At 40.6% G+C, this 22,335-nt stretch overlaps 1 protein-coding gene across 22 annotated transcripts in view, besides 2 other annotated features; it reads right to left on the bottom strand.

Annotated features, from left to right (window-relative positions):
- The window catches only part of AXDND1 (axonemal dynein light chain domain containing 1), a 189,031-nt gene extending 167,692 nt beyond the window's left edge, over positions 1–21,339 (bottom strand). For 11 of the 22 annotated variants that reach the window (XR_921742.3, XR_921741.2, XM_011509165.2 and 8 more), the window contains exons 1-9: positions 21,044–21,073; positions 20,438–20,640; positions 18,072–18,244; positions 16,966–17,069; positions 8,287–8,407; positions 7,562–7,647; positions 4,288–4,344; positions 3,500–3,602; positions 1,685–1,806 (exon numbers count right to left, since the gene is read on the bottom strand). Coding sequence is in view for 18 of the 22 variants with exons in the window: in XM_011509165.2 (XP_011507467.1) it covers positions 1,685–1,806; positions 3,500–3,602; positions 4,288–4,344; positions 7,562–7,647; positions 8,287–8,407; positions 16,966–17,069; positions 18,072–18,244; positions 20,438–20,534 (863 nt within the window). In the remaining 4 variants the exon portion in view is untranslated. Of the gene's footprint in view, positions 1–1,684; positions 1,807–3,499; positions 3,603–4,287; positions 4,345–7,561; positions 7,648–8,286; positions 8,408–16,965; positions 17,070–18,071; positions 18,245–20,437; positions 20,641–20,698 lie in introns of those variants that run through there. The other 11 variants (XM_017000258.2, XM_017000257.2, NR_073544.2 and 8 more) reach the window with 10 other exon arrangements.
- Positions 20,673–20,742: an enhancer, noted in NCBI's record as "active region_2151". NCBI's record gives its function as "activates an Ori minimal core promoter by ATAC-STARR-seq in GM12878 lymphoblastoid cells {active_cell/tissue: GM12878}" and the evidence as "EXISTENCE:reporter gene assay evidence [ECO:0000049][PMID:35858748]".
- Positions 21,123–21,522: an enhancer, noted in NCBI's record as "active region_2150". NCBI's record gives its function as "activates an Ori minimal core promoter by ATAC-STARR-seq in GM12878 lymphoblastoid cells {active_cell/tissue: GM12878}" and the evidence as "EXISTENCE:reporter gene assay evidence [ECO:0000049][PMID:35858748]".

Raw genomic sequence — 22,335 nt, 5'->3', positions numbered from 1 at the left:
TGTATGTTCAAAAAGTTAAGTAGAGACATGGAAGATATTTAAAAGACCCAAACTGACCTTCTAGAGATGAAAGCAAAAATGTCTGAGATGAAAATATATACTAGATAGGATTAAAGTAAGATCCTGTCTCTACAAAAAAAAATACAAAAAAATTAGCTGGGTGTGGTGGCACACACTTGTAGCCCCAGCTACTGAGGAGGCTGAGGTAGGCGGATCACTTGAGCTCAGGAGTTCAAGGCTGCAATGAGCCAAGATCATGCCACTGCACTCCAGCCTGGGTAACAGAGCAAGACTCTATGTCAAAAATAATAAGAATAGTAATAATAATTAGATAGGATTAAAAGCAGATTAGATATTATGGGAAAAAAAGATTAATGAACTTGAAGGTATAGCAATAGAAACTATCCAAAATGAAGACAAATAGAAAAGAGCAAAAATGTGTATAACATTAGTGATCTGTGGGACAACTTCAGTACTAGTGGCCTAATACATGTGTAAACAAATTCCCTCAAAAGAGGTGGAGGGACAGAAAAACACTTAAAGAAATAGCCAAAAATGTTCCATATTTGATGAAAACTATAAAGCCACAGACCAAAATGCTTAATAAGCACCAAGCACAAGAAACGTGAAAAAAAACTACACCAAGTCATAGCATAGTGAAACTGCTCAAAAGCAATGGTAAAGAAAAAATCTTAAGGCTGGGCTCGGTGGCTCACGCCTGTAATCCCAGCACTTTGGAAGGCCAAGGCAGGCAGATCACGAGGTCAGGAGTTCGAGACCAGCCTGACCAACATGGTGAAACCCCGTCTCTACTAATATACAAAATTAGCCGGGCGTGGTGGCAGGCGCCTGTAATCCCAGCTACTCGGGAGGCTGAGGCAGGAGAATTGCTTGAACCTTGGAGGCAGAAGTTGCAGTGAGCCGAGATCGCGCCATTGCACTCCAGCCTGGGCGACAGAGCGAGACTGTCTCAAAAAAAAAAAAAAAAAAAAAGGAAAAAATCCTAAAATCAGCTCCAGGAAAAACACACATTACGTTTGGGGGAATAAAGACAAGGATGGCAGCAGATTTCTCACTGGAAACAATGCAAATGAGAGTAGGGCAACAACATCTTTAAAGTACTAAATTTAAAAACTGTCTATATCCAACAAAAATATCTTTCAAAAATTCTCTTATTGCCCCAAGGCCAGGTACCAAACAACCAGGGACAACCCCTATTATGGAATGCCCAGTGAAATTATCCAAACAATCCAATCTTAAGCCTACTTAACCTGCCTCACTTATTCCTTCCCAAGGAAACCACAATAGAGGTGCCTCCCCACAGGTTCCCTCCCTCTCATTACCTCATGACTGACTTGGTGTCTCCCCGCAATGGCCCTGTATGGCATGCTGCTTCTCCCCAGGGAGCTGTGAGTATAACAAAACTATAAAACTCTTTCTGGGTTCTTTCTCTTGATCTGCATCAGGTCTCACTGTATCTCACCCAAGATAATATGGCTAAAATAAAATGAAAGCTATAGACCCTTTCCATATATTAACAAAAAAGAAAAAAAAATGCAGTTAGATTACTTACGATCAGTAGAATAGAGAAGTGCACTTTTGTGGCATTCTCAAAAGTAGATATAAAGACAAATCTAATATAAAAATCAAAAGGAAACTGGACCATTCCAATAACAGCACTAACCTGACTTTAGACAGAAGTTCTCCTCTGTCTGCACAGTCCACACTGACTTGTCGAATAAGTTCATGAAATATCATGTTGTAAATGGTCTGTTCCTTCTTCAATATATGTAGTAGTTTGTGCATCTGTCAGAAGGTAAGTAACATAATCAGTACTTATTACAGTCTTAGTAAAAAACATTTTAGGAGGTTAATACCTTGAATGTAAATAAGTTTTAGAAACACGTTGATTAATTTATTTCACTTACATTTTCATTTATATATATACAAAAGTGATATTTGATTTTTAAATGCTGGTCTGCCCAAGTGCAGTGGCTCACACCTGTAATCCCAACACTTTGGGAGGCCAAGGTGGGCAGATTGCTTGAGGCAAGGAGCTTGAGACCAGCCTGGGCAATATGGTGAGACCCTGTCTGTACAAAAAATATAAAAATTAGCCAGCCATGGTGGCACACGCCTGTAGTCCCAGCTACTCGGGAGGCTGAGGTGGGAGGATCCCCTGAGCCCAGGGAGGTTGCAGCTGCAGTGAGCCATAATCACAGTGTACTCCAGCCTGGGTGACAGAGTGAGACTTTGTCTCAAAAAAAAAAAAAAAATTGGTGCCTCTTTATCTGATGCACTGAAAAGGTCACAATATCACTTCTATGTTATAGCTGCCAAAAATAAAAAACCCCAATCTAAAATCATGACTATACATCTGACAAACCAAAATTGAAGAACATTCTACAGAGTAACTGGCTTGTGTTCTTCAAAACAACAAGGTCAAGAAAAACAAAGAAAGGCTGAGAAACTGTTTCAGATTAAAATTGTCTAAAGAAACATGACAACTAAAAGAACTATGTGATTTCTTAGATTCTGGACTAGGAAGAAAAAATAGCTATTTTTAAAAGCCATTACAGAGACAATTGATAAAATATAAAATTTAAATGTCTGTGTCAGATAATACTATCATATCAACATTAAATTTCCTGATAACTATATTATGGATATATAAGAGAATGTCCTTGTTTGTAGGAAATATATCCTGAATATCTGGGTATTAAAGAGGCATGATGTCTCCAACTCACTCTAAATGGTTCAGAACAAAGTGATGCATATGTAGACAGAGAAGGAGAGAGAATGAGAAAGCAAATAGGGCACAATGTAAATAACCAGATGGAGAATCCGGGTAAAGGTTACATAGCAGTGTCTTGTATTGAACTTTTTCTGTAAGTTTCCAATTCCAAACAAATAAAATACATAAAACAAAAAAGAAATAGCCCTGATAAAGAAAAAGGTCTCTATCTATGTAAGACTAAAAGAGTTCTTTCTTAAGTAGAAAATAAAAATTACAAGTGGTGGCCTGGTGCGGTGGTTCATGCCTGTAATCCCAGCACTTTGGGAGGGTGAGGTGGGCAGATCACTTGAGGTCAGGAGTTTGAGAACAGCCTGGCCAACATGGTGAAACCCCATCTCTACTAAAAATATACCTGGCAGTGTTTTTTAGTGTTACATAAAATAATAAGGGTCTTACAATCAATGATACCTTATATTTGGTGAAATAATAATACTAACAATTAATTATACAGTGTCTACCACATGCCAAGAACTGTTCTAAGCACTTTACATTTATTATGTCATTTCATCTCCACAAAAACCCTATGAGGTAGGTGATATTATTATCTCCAAAGTTCAGATGAGGAAACTGAGGTACAAATACATTAAATGACTTGTCCAAGGCCATTAGTAAATATATGGCAGGGTCAGAATTCTAACCTAGGCAATCTGCCTCCTGAGTGCATGCTCTTAGCCACCAGGTTGCATTCGGCTTTGCAATTACCTTCGTTGGTCCTGTATATTCCTGATTTTCCACACCAGCCCTCTCTAGCATAGTATCCATCACATCATTCAGCTGGGCCACTTCTACTCTTTTATTAGGTTTCCTAAAAAATTAAGGTGGCAGACTTATGCAATTAACATTGCAACAGGGAATTCTCAAATGGCAAAAAGAATATAATATGTGTAAAGAGAATATATATGCTCTCTGGGATATTAATGGCATTTTAAGCATTAGACCTGTGTCTATTAATCTATTGGGAGATCAATAATATAGTAGAAAAAAGGAAGAAAAATGCAAATAGTATGATTCTCTTTTTCATAAAAGAAAATAATGCTTCCCCCCAAAAAAAATTCTATATACCTATCATATAGCAGTGTAAGAACATAGAAAAAGAAAAAATGTAGGGAGATAAACATCAAACTTTTAACATTGGTTACCTCACAATGTGAGAGAAGAAAAGGGACAAAGAAAAGGAAAAAAAAGACTATAGCAAAATGGAGAAATACTAATGGTTAAACATAGAATATAAAAGTACTTTATCATATTTAAATATTATGCTATATATGTAAATATGTAAAATTTAATATGCAATTAGACAAATGAAATATATAAACATTGAATATACAATTGTAAAAACGAAAACACTGATTAGATGATGAACTTGTAGGCAATTATTGCCTTGGGTTGCTGCTATAATTTTAATAATTTTGTTTAATAAAGTACCAAGAAATGTGTATGTATATAGGTATTCTTTCTGAGAAAGACTTTAGAAAATAAACTGTACTTACATGGATGGGAAGAGCAATAGCCTGTTTTCACTATCTGTGAGGAGAGTAGTGTATTTGCTACAATAAATAAGATAGGTAAATGTTATTTTAAGAAAATTTTCTGGCCTGTTTATCAATTAGCACAACTAACCCCCAGAATCTTGGTTTCTAAGTACCATTCTCCACTAAAAGGAATGAGTACTGCTTGGAGAAGTGACTCACCACCCATTCCAGGGCTGGAGTTGGAAAATACAAGATGAACCTGGAAGTCTTATCAAGCCAGAAAATAAGTGTTCAAATAATCATCGGGACATGGCCAAAGAACACAAGAGAAAGCTCAAAGGAGCAGCCTTTGGCCATTGGCCAAATCTGGAAAAATTTGAGCATCAAAATAATGGGCCGGGCATGGTGGCTCACACCTGTAATCCTAACACTTTGGGAGGCTGAGGCGGGCAGATCACTTGAGGTCAGGAGTTCGAAACCAGCCTGGCCAACATGATGAAGCCCCGTCTCTACTAAAAATACAAAAGAATTAGCCGGGCATGGTGGCAGGCGCCTGTAATCCCAGCTACTCAGGAGGCTGAGGCAGGAGAATTGCTTGAACCTGGGAGGCGGGGGTTGCAGTGAGCAGAGATCGTGCCACTGCACTCCACCCATGACAGAGCGAGACTCTGTCTCAAAAAAATAAAAAATAAAAATAAAGGGCTGGGCGTGGTGGCTCATGCCTATAATCCCAGCACTTTCAGAGGCCAAGGCAGGAGTTCAAGACCAGCCTGGCCAACATGGTGAAACCCCGTCGCTACTAAAAATACAAAAAAAAAAAAAAAAAAAAAATTAGGTGTGGTGGCGCGTGCCTGTAATCCCAGCTACTCAGGAGGCTGAGGCAGAAGAATCGCTTAAACCCAGGAGGTGGAGGTTGCAGTGAGCCAAGATCACGCCACTGCACTCCAGCTTGGGCAACAACAGCAAAACTCCATCTCCAAAAAATAAAATAAAATAATGATAGTAAAGAATTAAAATCCATCAAATAAAATAGAAATCCATTATTCCATATGGTAAAATGCCAAATAACAAATTGGCAGAAGAAATAATGATCATACAGAAGAAATGATGAAATTTTAAAAAATTCATCAAGGCCAGGTGCAGTGGCTCACACCTGTAATCCCAGCACTTTGGGAGGCCGAGGTGGGTGGGTCACCTGAGGTCCGGAGTTCGAGACCAGCCTGGCCAACATGGCGAAACCCCATCTCTACTAAAATTACAAAAATTAGCTGGGCATGGTGGCAGGCACCTGTAGTCACAGCTACTCGGGAGGCTGAGGCATGAGAATTGCTTGAACCCAAGGGGCGGAGGTTGCAGTGAGCCGAGATCGCACCACTTCCCTCCAGCCCAGGTGACAAAGCAAGACTTTGTCTCAAAAAAAAAAAAAAAAAATCAGCCATGTGCTGTGGCTCATGCCTGTAATCCCAGCACTTTGAGAGGCCAAAGCGGGCAGATCACCTGAGGTCAGGAGTTCGAGACCAGCTTGGCTAACATGGTGAAACCCTGTTTCTACCAAAAATACAAAAAATTAGCCAGGCACCGTGGTGCCTGCCTGTAATCCCAGCTACTCAGGAGGCTGAGGCAGGAGAATCGCTTGAACCTGGGAGGCGGAGGTTGCAGTGAGCCGAGATCATGCCATTGCACTCCAGCTTGGGCAATAAGAGCGAAACTCCGTCTCAAAGAAAAAAAAAAAAAAAAAAAAGTCACCAAAAGATCTATAACTAATGGGTTGTTAGGAAATACACACTAAAGTATTTGGTGGTAGAAGTATTTGATTATTTACTCTTAAATAGTTTGAAAATATGTGCATGTGTATGCATGCTTGTGTATGTTTAAGAGCAAATGAGACAAAGTGTAAACAACCAGTGACTCAAGGTAGAGGGTATATAGGCATTCCTTTTCCCATTTTTGCAACATTTTTATGTCTGAAATTACATTAAAATAAAAGGTTACCCAAAAAATGAATTTCATTTGGTTCTCTTGGGCAAAATATTGTTCTGAAACATACCATCACAATGAAATGCAATATATTATAACATACATATTGGAAAGACAATATCAAAAGAGTGACAGCCTCTGGATATTTTATTATAAAACCTTAGTCCAAAGTTCTCATTTTCTAAACTATAAAACATTCAAGTGTTGTTTCAGAAAATAAAAGCAAGATCCTATTTTCAATCCCATAAACAGGAATCAAAGATGACAAGATAATGAGTCTGCAATGTGGAGCCAAGCCCTGGAGCATGGATTATGAGATGCTGGCTCAGAGGGCTACTTTCCTTTGTCTCCATAATCATTGCTCAAAATCATTCCTAAAGGGCATAGTCACACATTCAAACAAAGTTCCATTTTTTAAAAAATTCAAAATTAAATGGCAGGAAAAAATATGAATAATTTAATCACTAACATCCCAAACTCTTTTAAGTACTTTTAGTTTTTATTTTTTTTAATTTGTATCTTTTTCTTTCATTTATGTATTTTTTTTTTGAGACGGAGTCTCACTCTGTCGCCCAGGCTGGAGTGCAGTGGCGCGATCTCAGCTCACTGCAAGCTCTGCCTCCTGGGTTCATGCCATTCTCCTGCCTCAGCCTCCCAAGCAGCTGGGACTACAGGCACCCACCACCACGCCCGGCTATTTTTTTGTATTTTTAGTAGAGACGGAGTTTCACCGTGTTAGCCAGGATGGTCTTGATCTCCCGACCTCGTGATCTGCTCGCCTCAGCCTCCCAAAGTGCTGGGATTACAGGCGTGAGCCACCGCGCCCTGCCAATTTGTATCTTTCTTAATTGTATTAGGATGGCTGGCTCAAATGTTTCCTCATTTCAGTTTATATATTGCTCAGGAATATGAGTGTACTATTCTCAGGTTCTTCTATGTATGGGAAGGAGGAAACAGTTCAACTTGTCAGGTATTCTTTCTTTTTTTTTTTTTTTTTTTTTGAGATGGAGTTTCACTCTTGTTGCCCAGGCTGGAGTGTAATGGTGCAATCTTGGCTCACTGCAACCTCCGCCTCCCAGGTTCAAGTGATTCTCCTGCCTCAGCCTCCCCAGTAGCTGGGATTACAGGCACCCGCCACCACACCCAGCTAATATTTTTGTATTTTCTGTAGAGACGGACTTTCACCATGTTGACCAGGCTGGTCTTGAACTCCTGACCTCAGATGATCCACCCGCCTTGGCCTCGCAAAGTGCTGGGATTACAGGCATGGGCCACCGAGCTGGGGCAGGTATTTTTTACATATCATAGTACTCACTCATCATAACACTCCAAACCTGAAACTCCTGTACTTGACACAATATGAAATTCTTCAGGAATCAAAGTATCTGTTAGTGTCTTTGGCTTAAAAGAAAAGAAAAGCAAAATAAAAGAATGAATATATTAATAGAGAAAAAATTCACTTGCACAAATCCTAATTCCTAACCTAAAGAGATACTATTTTTTAAGTTGAAAAATTTTGATTGGAGAAATAACAATATTAGCAATGTGGGTCATAGCAAATGACAAAAACTAACCAGAGCACACATCTCTAAAATAACCATAAATTAAAGAATAACCTTGGTGCTAGTATTAGTTACATGTATCCCATATATTCAGAAGTTTATTGATTCCTTTCCTTTAAATTCAGCAGGGAATTTAAAATTCAACTTAGCAAGATACCAAAGATAAGAATCCTACAACTTTATATGTGGATTTCTAAGGGAAAAACAATATAATCTCCCACGCTGTGTTTTTTAGATTAAAACAGATTAACTGTGGTTCGCAAAATGGCTTAAAATAAGACATTTTGATCTTTTCCTGCTAAATACCCTTTTCCCATTTTAAGAAGTAATTTGAAAATGCTATGAAGATTGGTGAGCAATGCAGGTTGTTATAGTATGACGTTGTTTTATATTTTATATTTATATTAAAAATCATTTTAAAATGATTTTTAAAAGTAGACAGAGGGAGAGAAGATTATTTGTCAAATACTTTATTTACCTTATGGGGCACAATGACACCATCATGTGACTGTAATGAACGGGCCAAATGTGGGGGACAAACTGCCTTCTCCCTAGTCTGTCCTTTGGCATATGTTACATCGTACAGAAAAGAAATATCCCTAAAAAGTAAGAAAAATATATTTACAAAACAAATTTTCTATCTGGATACCACATAACAGCAGGTGAGATCCACACATATCCTTCTAATGGGTAAGATGGTCCTCTGTGTCAGCAAAACTGATCTCCTTACATAACACTTTACTAAGACTGAGGCATTAAACATGAGTTCCCCCACATTCTTTCTCTTCTCCACCTGAAATTTCTCATTCATATCACAAACTCTTTCCTTTCCTTCAGTATGAGGTTAAAATATATTCTCTTTCCTATGGCTATTCCCTCCACTTAGGTGCTTGATTCCATCTTTGCCCATATCCTCAGGAGTCTCATTCCATCAGTCCTAACTTCTGTGTATCTCCAACTCTACATCCCCTTTGACCTATAATAAACTTTTTCCCCTTCTAAAAATATTTCCTTGAACATGTATTGCTGTCATGTTGTGATTGTTATTATCATTATTATTATTTTGACACAGAGTCTCACTCTGTCGCCCAGGCTGGAGTGCAATGGCGCAAAATCTCAGCTCACTACAACCTCCACCTCCCGGATTCAAGCAATTCTCCTGCCCAGCCTCCCAAGTAGCTGGGATTACAAGCACGTGCCATCATGTCTGGCTAATTTTTTGTATTTTTAGTAGAGATGGGGTTTTGCCACGTTGGCCACGCTGGTCTCAAACTCCTGGCCTCAGGTGACCTGCCTCGGCCTTCCAAAGTGCTGGGATTACAGGCATGAGCCACCATGCCCGGCCGCTGTCATGTTATTATGATCTATCAATGGATCAATCGATTGATCTATCATCGATCACTTGTGTTAAACATCAAACTTCCTAAAATTGTCCTGCAATTTGATTTCCACCCATACCTCTCTTCTGAAACTATTTTCTAGAAAGCTGATGGTGATTACCACTGCCAAGTTAAACAATCTCTTAGCAGTTATCTTCTACCATGCTTCCCTGGAATGTTTTCCAGGGTTGATCACATTTGCAACTTTTCTGTGAGTCTTTAAATTATTTCAAAATAAGAAGTTTAATAAAACAAAATACAGAAAAGTGGAGAAAAAAATCCTCTGATAACCAAGATGTGGGCAAGTGGTCTAAGCTAGGCCAAATATACTCTTCCAGGAGACGGAATCTTGAGTCATTGACTCTTTTAAGACTTCCAGGACAGAAAACAATAGGCATTAATTCATCACTACAATGGTACCCTGAAATGATTGTCCATTACATCCTTCTATAAACTCCAAATGTATTTACTGGTTTACATAGTAAAGACTAATTCAGCATCTACTGCATACCTGGCACTGCGAGCTAAGAACACTAATAGTGAAAAAAGCAAATAAAAAGTTCCTACCCTCATGGAACTGATTCTAGTGGTGAAGAATGACAATACAGAAATATTACAATTTCAAGGCCAGTTGCAGTGGCTCATGCCTGTAACACCAGCACTTTGGGAGGCTGAAGGGGGCAGATCACTTGAGGTCAGGAGTTTGTGGCCAACCTGACCAATATGGCGAAACCCCATCTCTACTAGAAATACAAAAATTAGCCGGGCGTGGTGGTGTGTGCCTATAGTCCCAGCTGCTTGGGAGGCTGAGGCAGGAGAATCACTTGAACCTGGGAAGCAAAGGTTGCAGTGAGCTGAGATCGTGCCACTGCACTCCAGCCTGGGTGACAGAGTGAGACTCCATCTCAAAAAAAAAGAAAAAACTACATTATTAAATTTGGGTGCCCTGGGTTATAGGATTGTACATTAACGTGCCCAAAATTCATTAATTTGCTCAGCAAATATTTATTAACCATATTGTAAGTGACAGAAAATATGCTAGATGAAAGGAATATAGAACTATTTCTTAAAATAGACACAGTCCCTACCATTGGGGAGCCTTCAATATAGAGGGGAAGATTCGCAAACCAAAGAAAAGTATAATATAAAGACATTGTAACAGAGAATAGAATGTTACTGGAATAACTAATAACAACACCACCCAAATACAGTTTAGACCAAGTCAGGGAAAACTTCGGGAAGCAGTAACAATTAGTGAGAACAAGAAACTGATTTGGATTTAGGTAAGCAACCGAAAAGTGTAGAGAACAGCATATGCATAGGTCCTGAGACACAACAGCACATGGTGACTTCGGCAAACTGAAAATGTAGTATAGTTGACCCTTGAACAACACAGCCTTGAACTGTATGGGTCTGCTTATACATGAATTTTTTCAACCAAACGCTGACTGAAAATACAGTATTCACCGGATATGAAACCCTCATATACAGAGGGCCAACTTTCCATATATATACATGAGTTTCTGACTCATGTACGGCTGACTGCAGAAATTGAGTGGACACAGATTCTGGTATCTGCAGGTGTCTGGGAACCAATCCCCCACATATCCCTCAGTATGAGGGATGACTGAATATACAGTTGAAGTATGAAGAATAAAATTGTTGAAATTAGAGAACTAAACACAGAGAGCCTTGCAAATCATGCTTAACATGTTGGGCTTTAGTCTAAGAGAAGCTAGAAAGGTTTTATGGATGAAATGAAATTTTAAATTATTTTAGAATGACTATAACAGTTGCAATATTGTGAAATGGTGGGAGAGGGTGTGCTTTGAGGGCAATGCCATTTGGCAGCTGATGTGGCATGTGAGGTTGGTGGAAACAGGCCAGTTCTAGTGTCCCAGGAAGATCCTGAAATATACAACATGGACCATAACTATTTTTAAACGTATATATTGGTAGTAAAAGACATCAAGCTATTGATGTCCTGCGCTGTGATATTCTGGTTCTCTTGGATATGTACAGGGGAAAAATGTTAGAGCTGTATTTCCCAATCCTCCGGATTCTTTCTCTGTTCCACCCTCTTAGAGGTTTTACATAGTCACAAAGATCTGAATGAGCTGCTGTCAGGATGATGGAACAGCAGTTCTTATCACACCAATAAATGCTGGAGAAGTTGGCCATTACAATTGTTTTGTTAGCTAAAAATGATGAATGCTTCATGTACATATATGTGTGTGTAGATACACACATGTGCATATATTATATACATATATGTACATATATGTATGTACATATATGTGTACAGTATATACCTGTATATACATATATAATGCATATGTATACATTATACATTATATGTTATACATTATATATATTTTATATAATTAGACATATATTATACACACAATATTTTATGCACATATACACAAACATATAATTAAAGAATATGTTGGGGCCGGGCATGGTGGCTCGCGCCTATAATCCTAGTATTTTAGGGGGCCAAGATGGGCGGATCACCTGAGGTCAAGTGTTCAAAACCAGCCTAGCCAATATAGTGAAACACCATCGCTATTAAAAATAAAGTTAAAAAACTAGCCAGATGTGGTGGCAGGCACCTGTCATCCCAGCTACTCGGGAGGCTGAGGCAGGAGAATCGCTTGAACTTGGGAGGCAGAGGTTGCAGTGAGCCAAGATCACACCACTACACTCCAGCCTGGATGACAGAGCAAGATTCCATCTTAAAAAAAATTTTTTTTTTATTAATAAAGAATATTTTGATTTAGTAATCATCACTCAAATTCTCTCAAGAACCTACTTTAGCAGCCTTTTGTATTTTTTTAATTTTTAAAAATAATTTATTTTATTTATTTATTTTTTAAATTATACTTTAAGTTCTAGGGTACATGTGCACAATGTGCAGGTTTGTTACATACATATACATGTGCCATGTTGGTGTGCTGCACCCCCCATTAACTCATCATTTACATTAGGTATTCCTCCTAATGTTATCCCTCCCCCCTCCCCCCATCCCACGACAGGCCCCGGTGTGTGATGTTCCCCACCCTGTGTCCAGGTGTTCTCATTGTTCAATTCCCACCTATGAGTGAGAACATGCAGTATTTGGTTTTCTGTCCTTGTGATAGTTTGCTCAGAATGACGGTTTCCAGCTTCATCCATGTCCCTACAAACGACATGAACTCATCCTTTTTTACGGCTACAAAGTATTCCATGGTTTATATGTGCCACATTTTCTTAATCCAGTCTATCACTGATGGACATTTGGGTTGGTTCCAAGTCTTTGCTATTGTGAATAGTGCCGCAATAAACATATGTGTGCATGTGTCTTTATAGTAGCATGATGTATAATCCTTTGGGTATATACTCAGTAATGGGATTGCTGGGTCAAGTGGTATTTCTAGTTCTAGATCCTTGAGGAATCACCACACTGTCTTCCACAATGGTTGAACTAGTTTATCCTCCCACCAACAGTGTAAAAGCGTTCCTATTTCTCCACATCCTCTCCAGCACCTGTTGTTTCCTGACTTTTGAATGATCGCCATTCTAACTGGTGTGAGATGGTATCTCATTGTGGTTTTGATTTGCATTTCTCTGATGGCCAACGATGATGAGCATTTTTTCATGTGTCTGTTGGCTGCATGAATATCTTCTTTTGAGAAGTGTCTGTTTGTATCCTTTGCCCACTTTTTGAAGGGGTTGTTTTTTTCTTGTAAATTTGTTTGAGTTCTTTGTAGATTCTGGATATTAGCACTTTGTCAGATGGGTAGATTGCAAAAATTTTCTCCCATTCTGTAGGTTGCCTGTTCACTCTGATGGTAATTTTTTTTTGCTGTGCAGAAGCTCTTTAGTTTAATTAGATACCATTTGTCAATTTTGGTTTTTGTTACCATTGCTTTTGGTGTTTTAGACATGAAGTCCTTGCCCATGCCTATGCCCTGAATGGTATTGCCTTGGTTTTCTTCTAGGGTTTTTATGGTTTTAGGTCTAACATTTAAGTCTTTAATCCATCTTGAATTAATTTTTGTATAAGGTGTAAGGAAGGGATCCAGTTTCAGCTTTCTACATATGGCTAGCCAGTTTTCCCAGCACCATTTATTAAATAGGGAATCCTTTCTCCATTGCTTGTTTTTGTCAGGTTTGTCAAAGATCAGATGGTTGTAAATGTGTGGTGTTATTTCGGAGGCCTCTGTTCTGTTCCGTTGGTCTATATATCTGTTTTGATACCAGTACCATGCTGTTTTGGTTACTGTAGCCTTGTAGTATAGTTTGAAGTCAGGTAGCGTGATGCCTCCAGCTTTGTTCTTTTTGCTTAGGCTTGTCTTGGCTCTGTGGGCTCTTTTTTGGTTCCGTATGAAATTTAAAATAGATTTTTCCAATTCTGTGAAGAAAGTGAGTGGCAACTTGGTGGGGATAGCATTGAATCTACAAATTACCTTGGGCAGTATGGCCATTTTCACGATATTGATTCTTCCTATCCATGAGCATGGAATATTCTTCCATTTGTTTGTGTTCTCTTTTATTTCGTTGAGCAGTGGTTTGTAGTTCTCCTTGAAGAGGTCCTTCACATTCCTTGTAAGTTGGATTCCTAGGTATTTTATTCTCTTTGAAACAATTGTGAATGGGAGTTCACTCATGATTTGGAGGAGCCTTTTGTATTTCTATACATTATTAAAGTACTGGGTATTGTTATGGTTTGAATGTGTCCCTTAGAAATTCATGTGTTGGAAATGTAATTGCCATTTTAATAGTATCATTATGAAGTGGAACCTTTAAGAGGTGATTGTGTTATTGATTTTTAGAAGAAGCCTGTTTTATTTACTTGTTGAAATATAATTTTTTATTAAAAATAATTAGAGGGCCAGGCGTGGTAGCTCACGCCTATAATCCCAGCACTTTGAGAGGCCGAGGCGGGTGGATCACCTGAGGTCAGGAGTTTGAGACCAGCCTGACCAACATGGAGAAACCCGGTCTCTAATAAAAATACAAAATTAGCTGGGCATGGTGGTGCATGCCTGTAGTCCCAGCTACGTCAGAGGCTGAGGCAGGAGAATCACTTGAACCCGGGAGGCAGAGGTTGTGGTGAGCCGAGACTGCGCCATTGCACTCCAGCCTGGGCAACAGGAGCAAAACTCCATCTCTCAAAAATAATAATAATAATAATTAGAGATATGTTTTGTTTCTTCATAAAATTCTATGGTAAAACACCCGCTTCCACTCTTCTGGAAAATCTATTTTTATTTAAAAAAACAAAAAACAAAACAAAACAACTTTGATTCTTAATCATAACATAATAACTGGATTTTATTTATTTGTCTTTAAGAAATTCTCCAACTCGTTCTTCAGCCCCCAGATTATTAACTGAGTTCATAATTCAAGCTCTTCTTCAAATCATCATTGGTTGAGTTATGTCTATCTATAAACATGTCTTTTATCTGAAGATGTCAATGTCACCCTGTTCTGGGAGTTATTCGCACAGGTACTTCCTCATACCAGCTCCTTTAGCCCTTCCAACAATTTTGTAAATACCCAATGTTCTGCATTTGATTCTTTCCTGCTTAAAATATCTAGACTGATTTATTTTCTGCACTGAACTCTGCTGAAAGAGTTGTCGAAAAATATTACTCGAGAATATTTGCTTTGCTGTTTTATATTTTACTGCTGGGTTCTGGGTGATTGAGGTTGCTGGACAAGTTATCTCGTTATGCATACTATTAGTTGTGCATTTGTGCATTAGTTTTCTATTGGTGCCATAACAAATTACCACAAATTTAGCATCTTAAACAACATAAATTTATTATCTTACTGCTCTGTAGGTCAGAAGTCCAACAGGGTCTCAAAAGGCTAAAATCAAGGCATTGGCAGGACTGTGTTTCTTTCTGGATGCTCTAGAGGAAGATCCAATTCTATGCTCATTTGGGTTGTTAACAGAATTCAGTTCTTTAAAGTTGTAAGACTGCAATCCCTGTTCCCTTGACAGTTGGCGACTGAGCTGTCATTAGAATTCCTAACTTCTAGTAGCCAAATTCATTTCTTGGCTGCTTTTCCCCTTCCTCCTTCTTCAAAGCCAGCAATGTCAGGCTGAACTCTCACAAGTCAAAGCTGTCCTCTTCCTTTCTCATCTCTCTGACCCACTTGACTGCCTTCCTTTTCCACTTTTAAAGATTCAGGTGATTAGGCTGGGCCCACCCTGACAATCTAAGATAATCTATCCATTTCAATGTCCTTACTTTCATCATATCTGTAAAGTCCCTTTTCCCAGGTGAGGTATGTATTCACAGGTTCTGAGACTACAGTGAAAATGTTTTCGTGGGGTTGAGGGGGCATTATCCTGTCAACCTGACTTCACACTTAAAAAACTCCAACTCAGAGTCATTTGACATTAAAACTTTATTTTTTGTTTTGTTTTGTTTTGAGAGGGAGTCTCGCTGGGTCGCCCAGGCTGGAGTGCAATGGCACAATCTCAGCTCACTGCAACCTCCACCTCCTGGATTCAAGCAATTCTCCTGCGTTAGCCTCCCAAGTAGCTGGGATTACAGGTGTGCGCCACCACGCCTGGCTAATTTTTGTATTTTTTGTAGTGACAGGGTTTCACCATGTTGCCCAGACTAGTCTCGAACTCCTGACCTCAAATGATCTGCCCACCTCGGCCTCCCAAAGTGCTGGGATTACAGGAATGAGCCACTGCACCTGGCCAACATTAAAACTGTAATGTCAGCTTAGTGCCACATTCAGATATAGCTAATTAATTTTCAAAGTACTTCAAACAACTCATAATACTAATTATTGCTACCAATAATTATAACCATGATCCGGAGGCATAGAATAAAATATAAAGCCTCAGTACATAAAAATCAATAGGACAAGTTTCTACCACTTTTCCTTGCACTGAAGCATAGCTGAGTAATAGCACCTATACTTAAATAGCACATTATAGTTTTACAAGTGCTCTTGCATCTATTATCTTATTTGTGCTTTACAATATCCCTGGGAGGCACACAAAACTGGCCCAGCCTATTATTCCCTTTTTACATATGAGAAAATGGGGCTTCAGAAAGACTAAATAACCTACTCAAGTATGTTAAGTGTAAACATTTGTTTCAGTAGAAGGGACATTTAAGTGAGGGCGCATGCATGGAGTAAATTGATAAGTGGACAATACATAGAAAACTAGCAGGTCTCAATCTTCACAGGGAAAATGTTGACCCACTTGACCGCCTTAGAATGACTTAGAATGTTTGTAGGAATGAGACAAAAACAAATAGTATTTGCTGACTTGATCTGAAACAGTGTAAAGATTAAGGGCTCCCTTTGGAGAGATCCAGAAATTAAGCTTTTGTTTTTCAAGGTTTTCCACATCATGAAGCTATGTTACCTAGTTCTTTCTTCTAAAGATGTCCACAAAGAAGACATACACACAGATAAAAGGAGCACTAAAGGCATTCTGCCTGTTGGATCTTGTCCCTTTTACTAGGGTACAACAGGGAATAGGAGAGTATAGGGACAAGTATACAAAGGCATGCAAAAAGCAAATTTAAACCAAAAATATGTAAAGCCAGCACCTATTTCCATCCTACTGATAATAATCACACACAAAAAGATGGTCTTTGGCCCTTCTGGATTGTATTCTGATTCAAAGATACTGTAAATTTTATCATCTATGATTCAGTGATTTTTCTAATTCTGCCCCTCCCAAGGTAATCATTCAAAATGAGAAAACAACTCTATTTATCAGCATCTATCCTACTATCTTCCTTCTTTACCTTCCAGCTCCTGTGAGGGAGACGGGATGGTCAATCAGGTATTTGAATTTATTCCTTCGAACAGGGTGATGCCAGACATGGTCTACAAGGCGTGGAAGAGTGCCCTGGGAAAAAGCAAATACACATGAATATCCAGCAGAGGGCGATCTAATCAAATAAAATGTATTAATAGTTTTGAGTAAGTACTGTATTTACATTAAGGGCACTTGGGTACTCTAAGGAAAAAAGAGAGCAGAATTCTTATTAAATGACATAAAGACTAAAACTAGAATAATTCTATAGTGAGTGAAAAACATTAAGGGTAGCAATTATCATTTTAGTAAATCCACATAAAAACAGGTCAATGGAAATACTCAAGCCTTGGAAACAATTTATACAAAAGACTGGAGTTTTCAATCTAAGAAATTATTTTAAATTTTTTTTTTTTGAGACAGAGTCTTGCTCTGTGGTCCAGGCTGGAGGGCAATGGCGCAATCTCGGCTCACTGCAACCTCTGCCTCCCGGGTTCAAGTGATTCTCCTGCCTCAGCCTCCCGAGTAGCTGGGACTATAGGCGCATGCCACTATGCCCAGCTAATTTTTGTATTTTTAGTAGAGACAGGGTTTCATGATGTTGGCCAGGATGGTTGATCTCCTGACCTCGTGATCTGCCTGCCTCAGCCTCCCAAAGTGCTGGGATTACAGCCTAAAAAAATTTTTTAAGGCCAGGCATGTTGGCTCACACTTGAAATTCCAGCACTTTGGGAGGCTAAGGCGGGTGGATTGCTTGAGCCCAGGAATTTGAGACCAGCATAGGCAACATGGCGAAACTCCGTCTCTATGAAAAATACAAAAATTAGCCAGGTGTGGTGGCACAGACCTGTAGTCCCAGCTACTCAGGAAGCTGAGGTGGGAGGATCACCTGAGCCAGGGTAGTCGAGGCTGCAGTGAGCAATGATCAGGCCACTACTCTCCAGCCTGGGCCACAGTAGTAAGACCCTGTCTCAATCAATCTTAAAATTTTTAAGGCTATCTGGAATATATAATATGTGCATAATAAATACTTAAAGAATAATCAGATGCCCAAAAAATAATGTTCCCCATTACTCTACATATGTACATACAAACCTTTGGGGTTTTAATTTTCTTAGGAGGTAGTAAGTTTTCAGGACAAGGACCAGCATTGGCCGCATAGGTCAGAGAAAGAAGAACTTCTTTGGGAATGAACTCATTCTGAAGGGAAGTAGGAAGGAGTTTTGAACGATCCACCATATTTTTTTTCTCCTTTAGCTCAGGAAGTCCTAAGTAAGTAGTGGAAAAGAAAAACTCTTACTATATATTTTTTTAAGTTAGATGGAGCTTCTCAGACTGCCTCATCAATCCCATCTGTTTCTAACAGAGAGAAACATTGCTTCTATTTGACAAAGATAGTAACAAATAATATTGAAAACAGTGAACATCATCTAGTCAAGGAAAATAACATTCATCTTGCCTACCCTACTCACATTACATCAGACACAGTTTCAAAAACTCAGGTACCAAGATGAACCTGCATGATTCTCAATTCAAAGTTGAAAACTAAACTCATTTCACTTGCTCAGGTAACTGGGAGAGCCTTAAGAAGACAGGAATGAATGTCTATTTTCCCTTTCATATGAAAATCACAAATCTCTCCCCCCAAGCTGTCAAATTATTTAGTAATTTTTTTCTTACATGAATTCAAAGGTGAGAATAATTGCATTAAATCGAGGCATTTATAGAGTGGAAAGGCTCTGGGTTGGGCTTAAAAGTAAAGATGGAACTGGGATTGTTGCAAATGAGAGTGGAACAATCTGAGCTGACAAATCTGTGGAATGGGAACTGTAAAAAGAGTGTTCTACCCTGCTTGACTAGGGCAGGGGAGTAATAAAGGCAGGTAGTTGGGATAATGTAGGAAAAGCCCTCCTATGAAGTCAGTCAGGTAGGGTTGAGTTGTTATTCTTCTTAATCTATGCCTGTAACATGGTATGGTTTATGTTTATTTCTATAAGGAGGTATCATGCTTTGATTACTATCAAAAGTTGTTAGGGTTTACATTACCAAATCTCCTGAGAGCTTGAGATCAAAAGAAACAGAAGAAAAAAAAAAAAGTTGGGTGGGGCTTGGGGTTTTAGTACAAGGTGCAGGTGAGATGGGAAAAGCTTTAACAGAACCGGGTAAGGATAACACTAGCTGACTCTAGTACAGATCCGCATATGAACGAAAATCTTAAGGAATTGCTCTCATTTAGAAAAATTACTAAAAGCTAATACAAATTGGCACATTGTACTAAATTGAGTTTCTCTTATCTCTGCTATTACTTTTTGTTTCTTTATTTACTTATTTGAGACCAAGTCTACCTCTGTTGCCCAGGCTAGAGTGCAGTGGCAAGATCTTGGCTCACTGCAACCTCTGCCTCCCGGGTTCAAGTGATTCTCCTGCCTCAGCCTGCCGAGTAGCTGGGATTACAGGCGAGTGCCACCACACCAGGCTAAATTTTGTATTTTTAGTAGAGACCGGGTTTCACCACGTTGGTCAGGCTGGTCTCAAACTCCTGACCTCGTGATTTGAGACGGAGTCTCGTTCTGTCGCCAGGCTGGAGTGCAGTGGCGCAATCTCGGCTCACTGCAACCTCCACCTCCCGGGTTCAAGCGATTCTCCTGCCTCAGCCTCCTGAGTAGCTGGGACTACAGGCACGAGCCACCACGCCCCCCCTAATTTTTGTATTTTTAGTAGACAGAGTTTCTCCATGTTGGCCAGAATGGTCTCAATCTCTTGACCTCGTGATCCGCCAGCCTCAGCCTCCCAAATGGGATTACAGGTGTGAGCCACTGTGCCCGGCCTATTTATTTATTTATTTTGAGATGGGGTCTTGCTCTTGTCTCCCAGACTGGAATGCAATGGCTCGATCCTGGCTCACTGCAACCTCACCTCCTGGGTTCAAGCGATTCTCTTGCCTCAGCCTCCAGAGTAAGCTGGGACTACAGGCGCGAGCCACCATGCCCGGCTAATTTTTGTATTTCTAGTAGAGACGGGATTTCATCATATTTGGCCAGGCTGGTCTCGAACTCCTGACCTCAAGTGATCCGCCCACCTCGGCCTCCCAAAGTGCTGGGATTACAGGCGTGAGCCACCGCGCCCTGCCTCACTATTACTTTTTCCAAAGTTCCTTAAAGCCAAAGACCAGGAACCAAAAAATACGTAACTATTGATATTTAAAATAGGTTGAATTTAAAATCATATATAAATCAACATTTGAAAAAAAGTATAAACTGTATTTAGATGGAGTAGTGAAACAGTACTCTGACTCAAAATACTGTAAAAGGAATGACTTCTTGCTTTATTTAAGCAAGTGTGTTAGAAAAATGTAGCCAATCAAGGTATTCTGAATATCAGATTTAAAAAACCGGTGAATGGAAGGTGATTTCTGTCTTACGGCCATGACTGTTTATGACTTCAGAATCAACGAAGTTTACCTCTTGTCCCTTCCTTGGCTACAGACACTTTTAACTTTTTGCTCTCAGATGTTGATGTAGAGTTTAGCGGGGTGGAGGGCGTTTTCGGGAGAGACATAATAAACAATGCCTCCTATCTCTTTAGTAATTTGAAATAGTCCTCCGGAAAGCTAATTTAGACACAAATCAGCGCCGCACTGGGACTTGCAGGCTGCCACATAGTCCTGCAGGCAGAGGAAAAAAGATTTAAAAAAAAAAAAAAAGATGACAACTATTGAGTACTTAGGTTCAGATCGCAGTTTAGAATTCATCTAGCATGGTTCTCCTTCTTCGGGGCGACCTCTATGTTCTGGGGTTATGTGTAGCGACTAAGAAGCCTTAGTGGACCGTCAGGTCGGGGTCAAGGAGCAGGGCAGGAAGGACCCGCTCGGCGGACCCCGCAGACCGCCGGCACCCCTGGTGGGGGACACTCGCTGCAGGCGGCTCGGCTGGGGACCATACCTTCCCCACAGGCAGCGCTCTCGCGCGCCAGTTCCACAAACTCGCGAGTTGGGCAGGCCTCGCACTGCTTCTTGGTTTAAAATGACGGGAAAGGGACACCCGCGATCCTACCCACACATTGCGTACCCGCCCAGCATCCGCTCACTTCCTCCTTTGCTGGAACGCCTGTTTGTCGTCATAGAAACCCAGGGCCCCGAGGTTTAGCGCCCTCCATAGGGGCTGCCTTCAGCGGTGCCGGCGGAGGAGGGAGACAGCTAAGACAATCCCTACACCCTCTTGGAGTTTCTTATGTTCTAAGTCACAGCATAGGTTCAGTAGCAAAGGAGAAGAAAAACGTTTAATCCCGCCGTTGTCACGGAATCCGAAAGTGTCTCACGCCGGGGCTTCCTGCCGCGGGCCAGGCCAGTGCGCAGGCGCCGGTGGGGGTTAGCTCGAGGGGCCGACCCCTGTAGCCCGTGACGCACGCGGGTTAAGCAAGGGTCTTCTGAGTTGTTTCCATCTTTCTAGCTCTCTTTTTTGTTGCTTTGCATATTTTTCTTTCTCTTTCTTCCTCTTTTTCTTTCTTTCTCTTTTTTTCCCCTGAGACGGAATTTCCCTCTTGTCGCCCAGGCTGGAGTTTAATGGTGCGATCTCGGCTCACTGCAACCTCCACCTCCTGGGTTCAAGCAATTCTCCTGCCTCAGCCTCCCAAGCAGCTGGGACTACAGGCAGACGCCACCATGCCCGGCTAATTTTGTAGTTTGTTTTTTGTTTTGTTTTGTTTGAGACGGAGTCTCGTTCTGTCGCGCTGGCTGGAGTGCAATGGTGCGATCTCAGCTCACTGCCACCTCCGCCTCCCAGGTTCAAGCGATTCTCCTGCCTCAGCCTCCCGAGGGACTACAGGCGGGGGCCACCATGCCCGGCTAATTTTTGTATTTTTAGTAGAGACGGGGTTTCACCATATTGGCCAGGCTGGTCTCAAACTCCTGACCGCGCCCGCCTCGGCCTTCCAAAGTGCTGGGATCATAGGCGTGAGCCACTGCGCCCGGACGCTTTGCATATTTTTCTAAAAGCCAGACTCAGGGGGATGTTGGGTAATAAGAAACGCTGGGTCCCTTATTGGGTAAGCCGTCCAGTGCTTTACATTTCGGTCACGTCTTCCTTGGACCCTTAAATGCCTCCCCCCAGAGCACAAGGAAGGCCTCCTGGGCCCAGATTTTTCACCCCCTTGGGGCAGGGAAGGAGGATTGAGCTTAGGTGGAACCAGCTCAGGTATAATTGTCGGGGCTTCTGGCGTGAAAATCTGCCCTCAGGAAAGAATACCATCAGCGGCCGGTGGCTCACGCCTGTAATCCCAGCACTTTCTTAGGCCGAGGCGGGTGGATCACGAGGTCAGGAGTTCGAGACCAGCCTGACCAACATGGTGAAACCCCGTCTCT

This window comes from Homo sapiens, chromosome 1, assembly GCF_000001405.40.
Source record: "Homo sapiens chromosome 1, GRCh38.p14 Primary Assembly".
Lineage (NCBI taxonomy): Eukaryota > Metazoa > Chordata > Mammalia > Primates > Hominidae > Homo > Homo sapiens.
The sequence above is the reverse complement of the archived record's forward strand: the minus strand, read 5'-3'. Positions and strand labels throughout refer to the sequence as shown.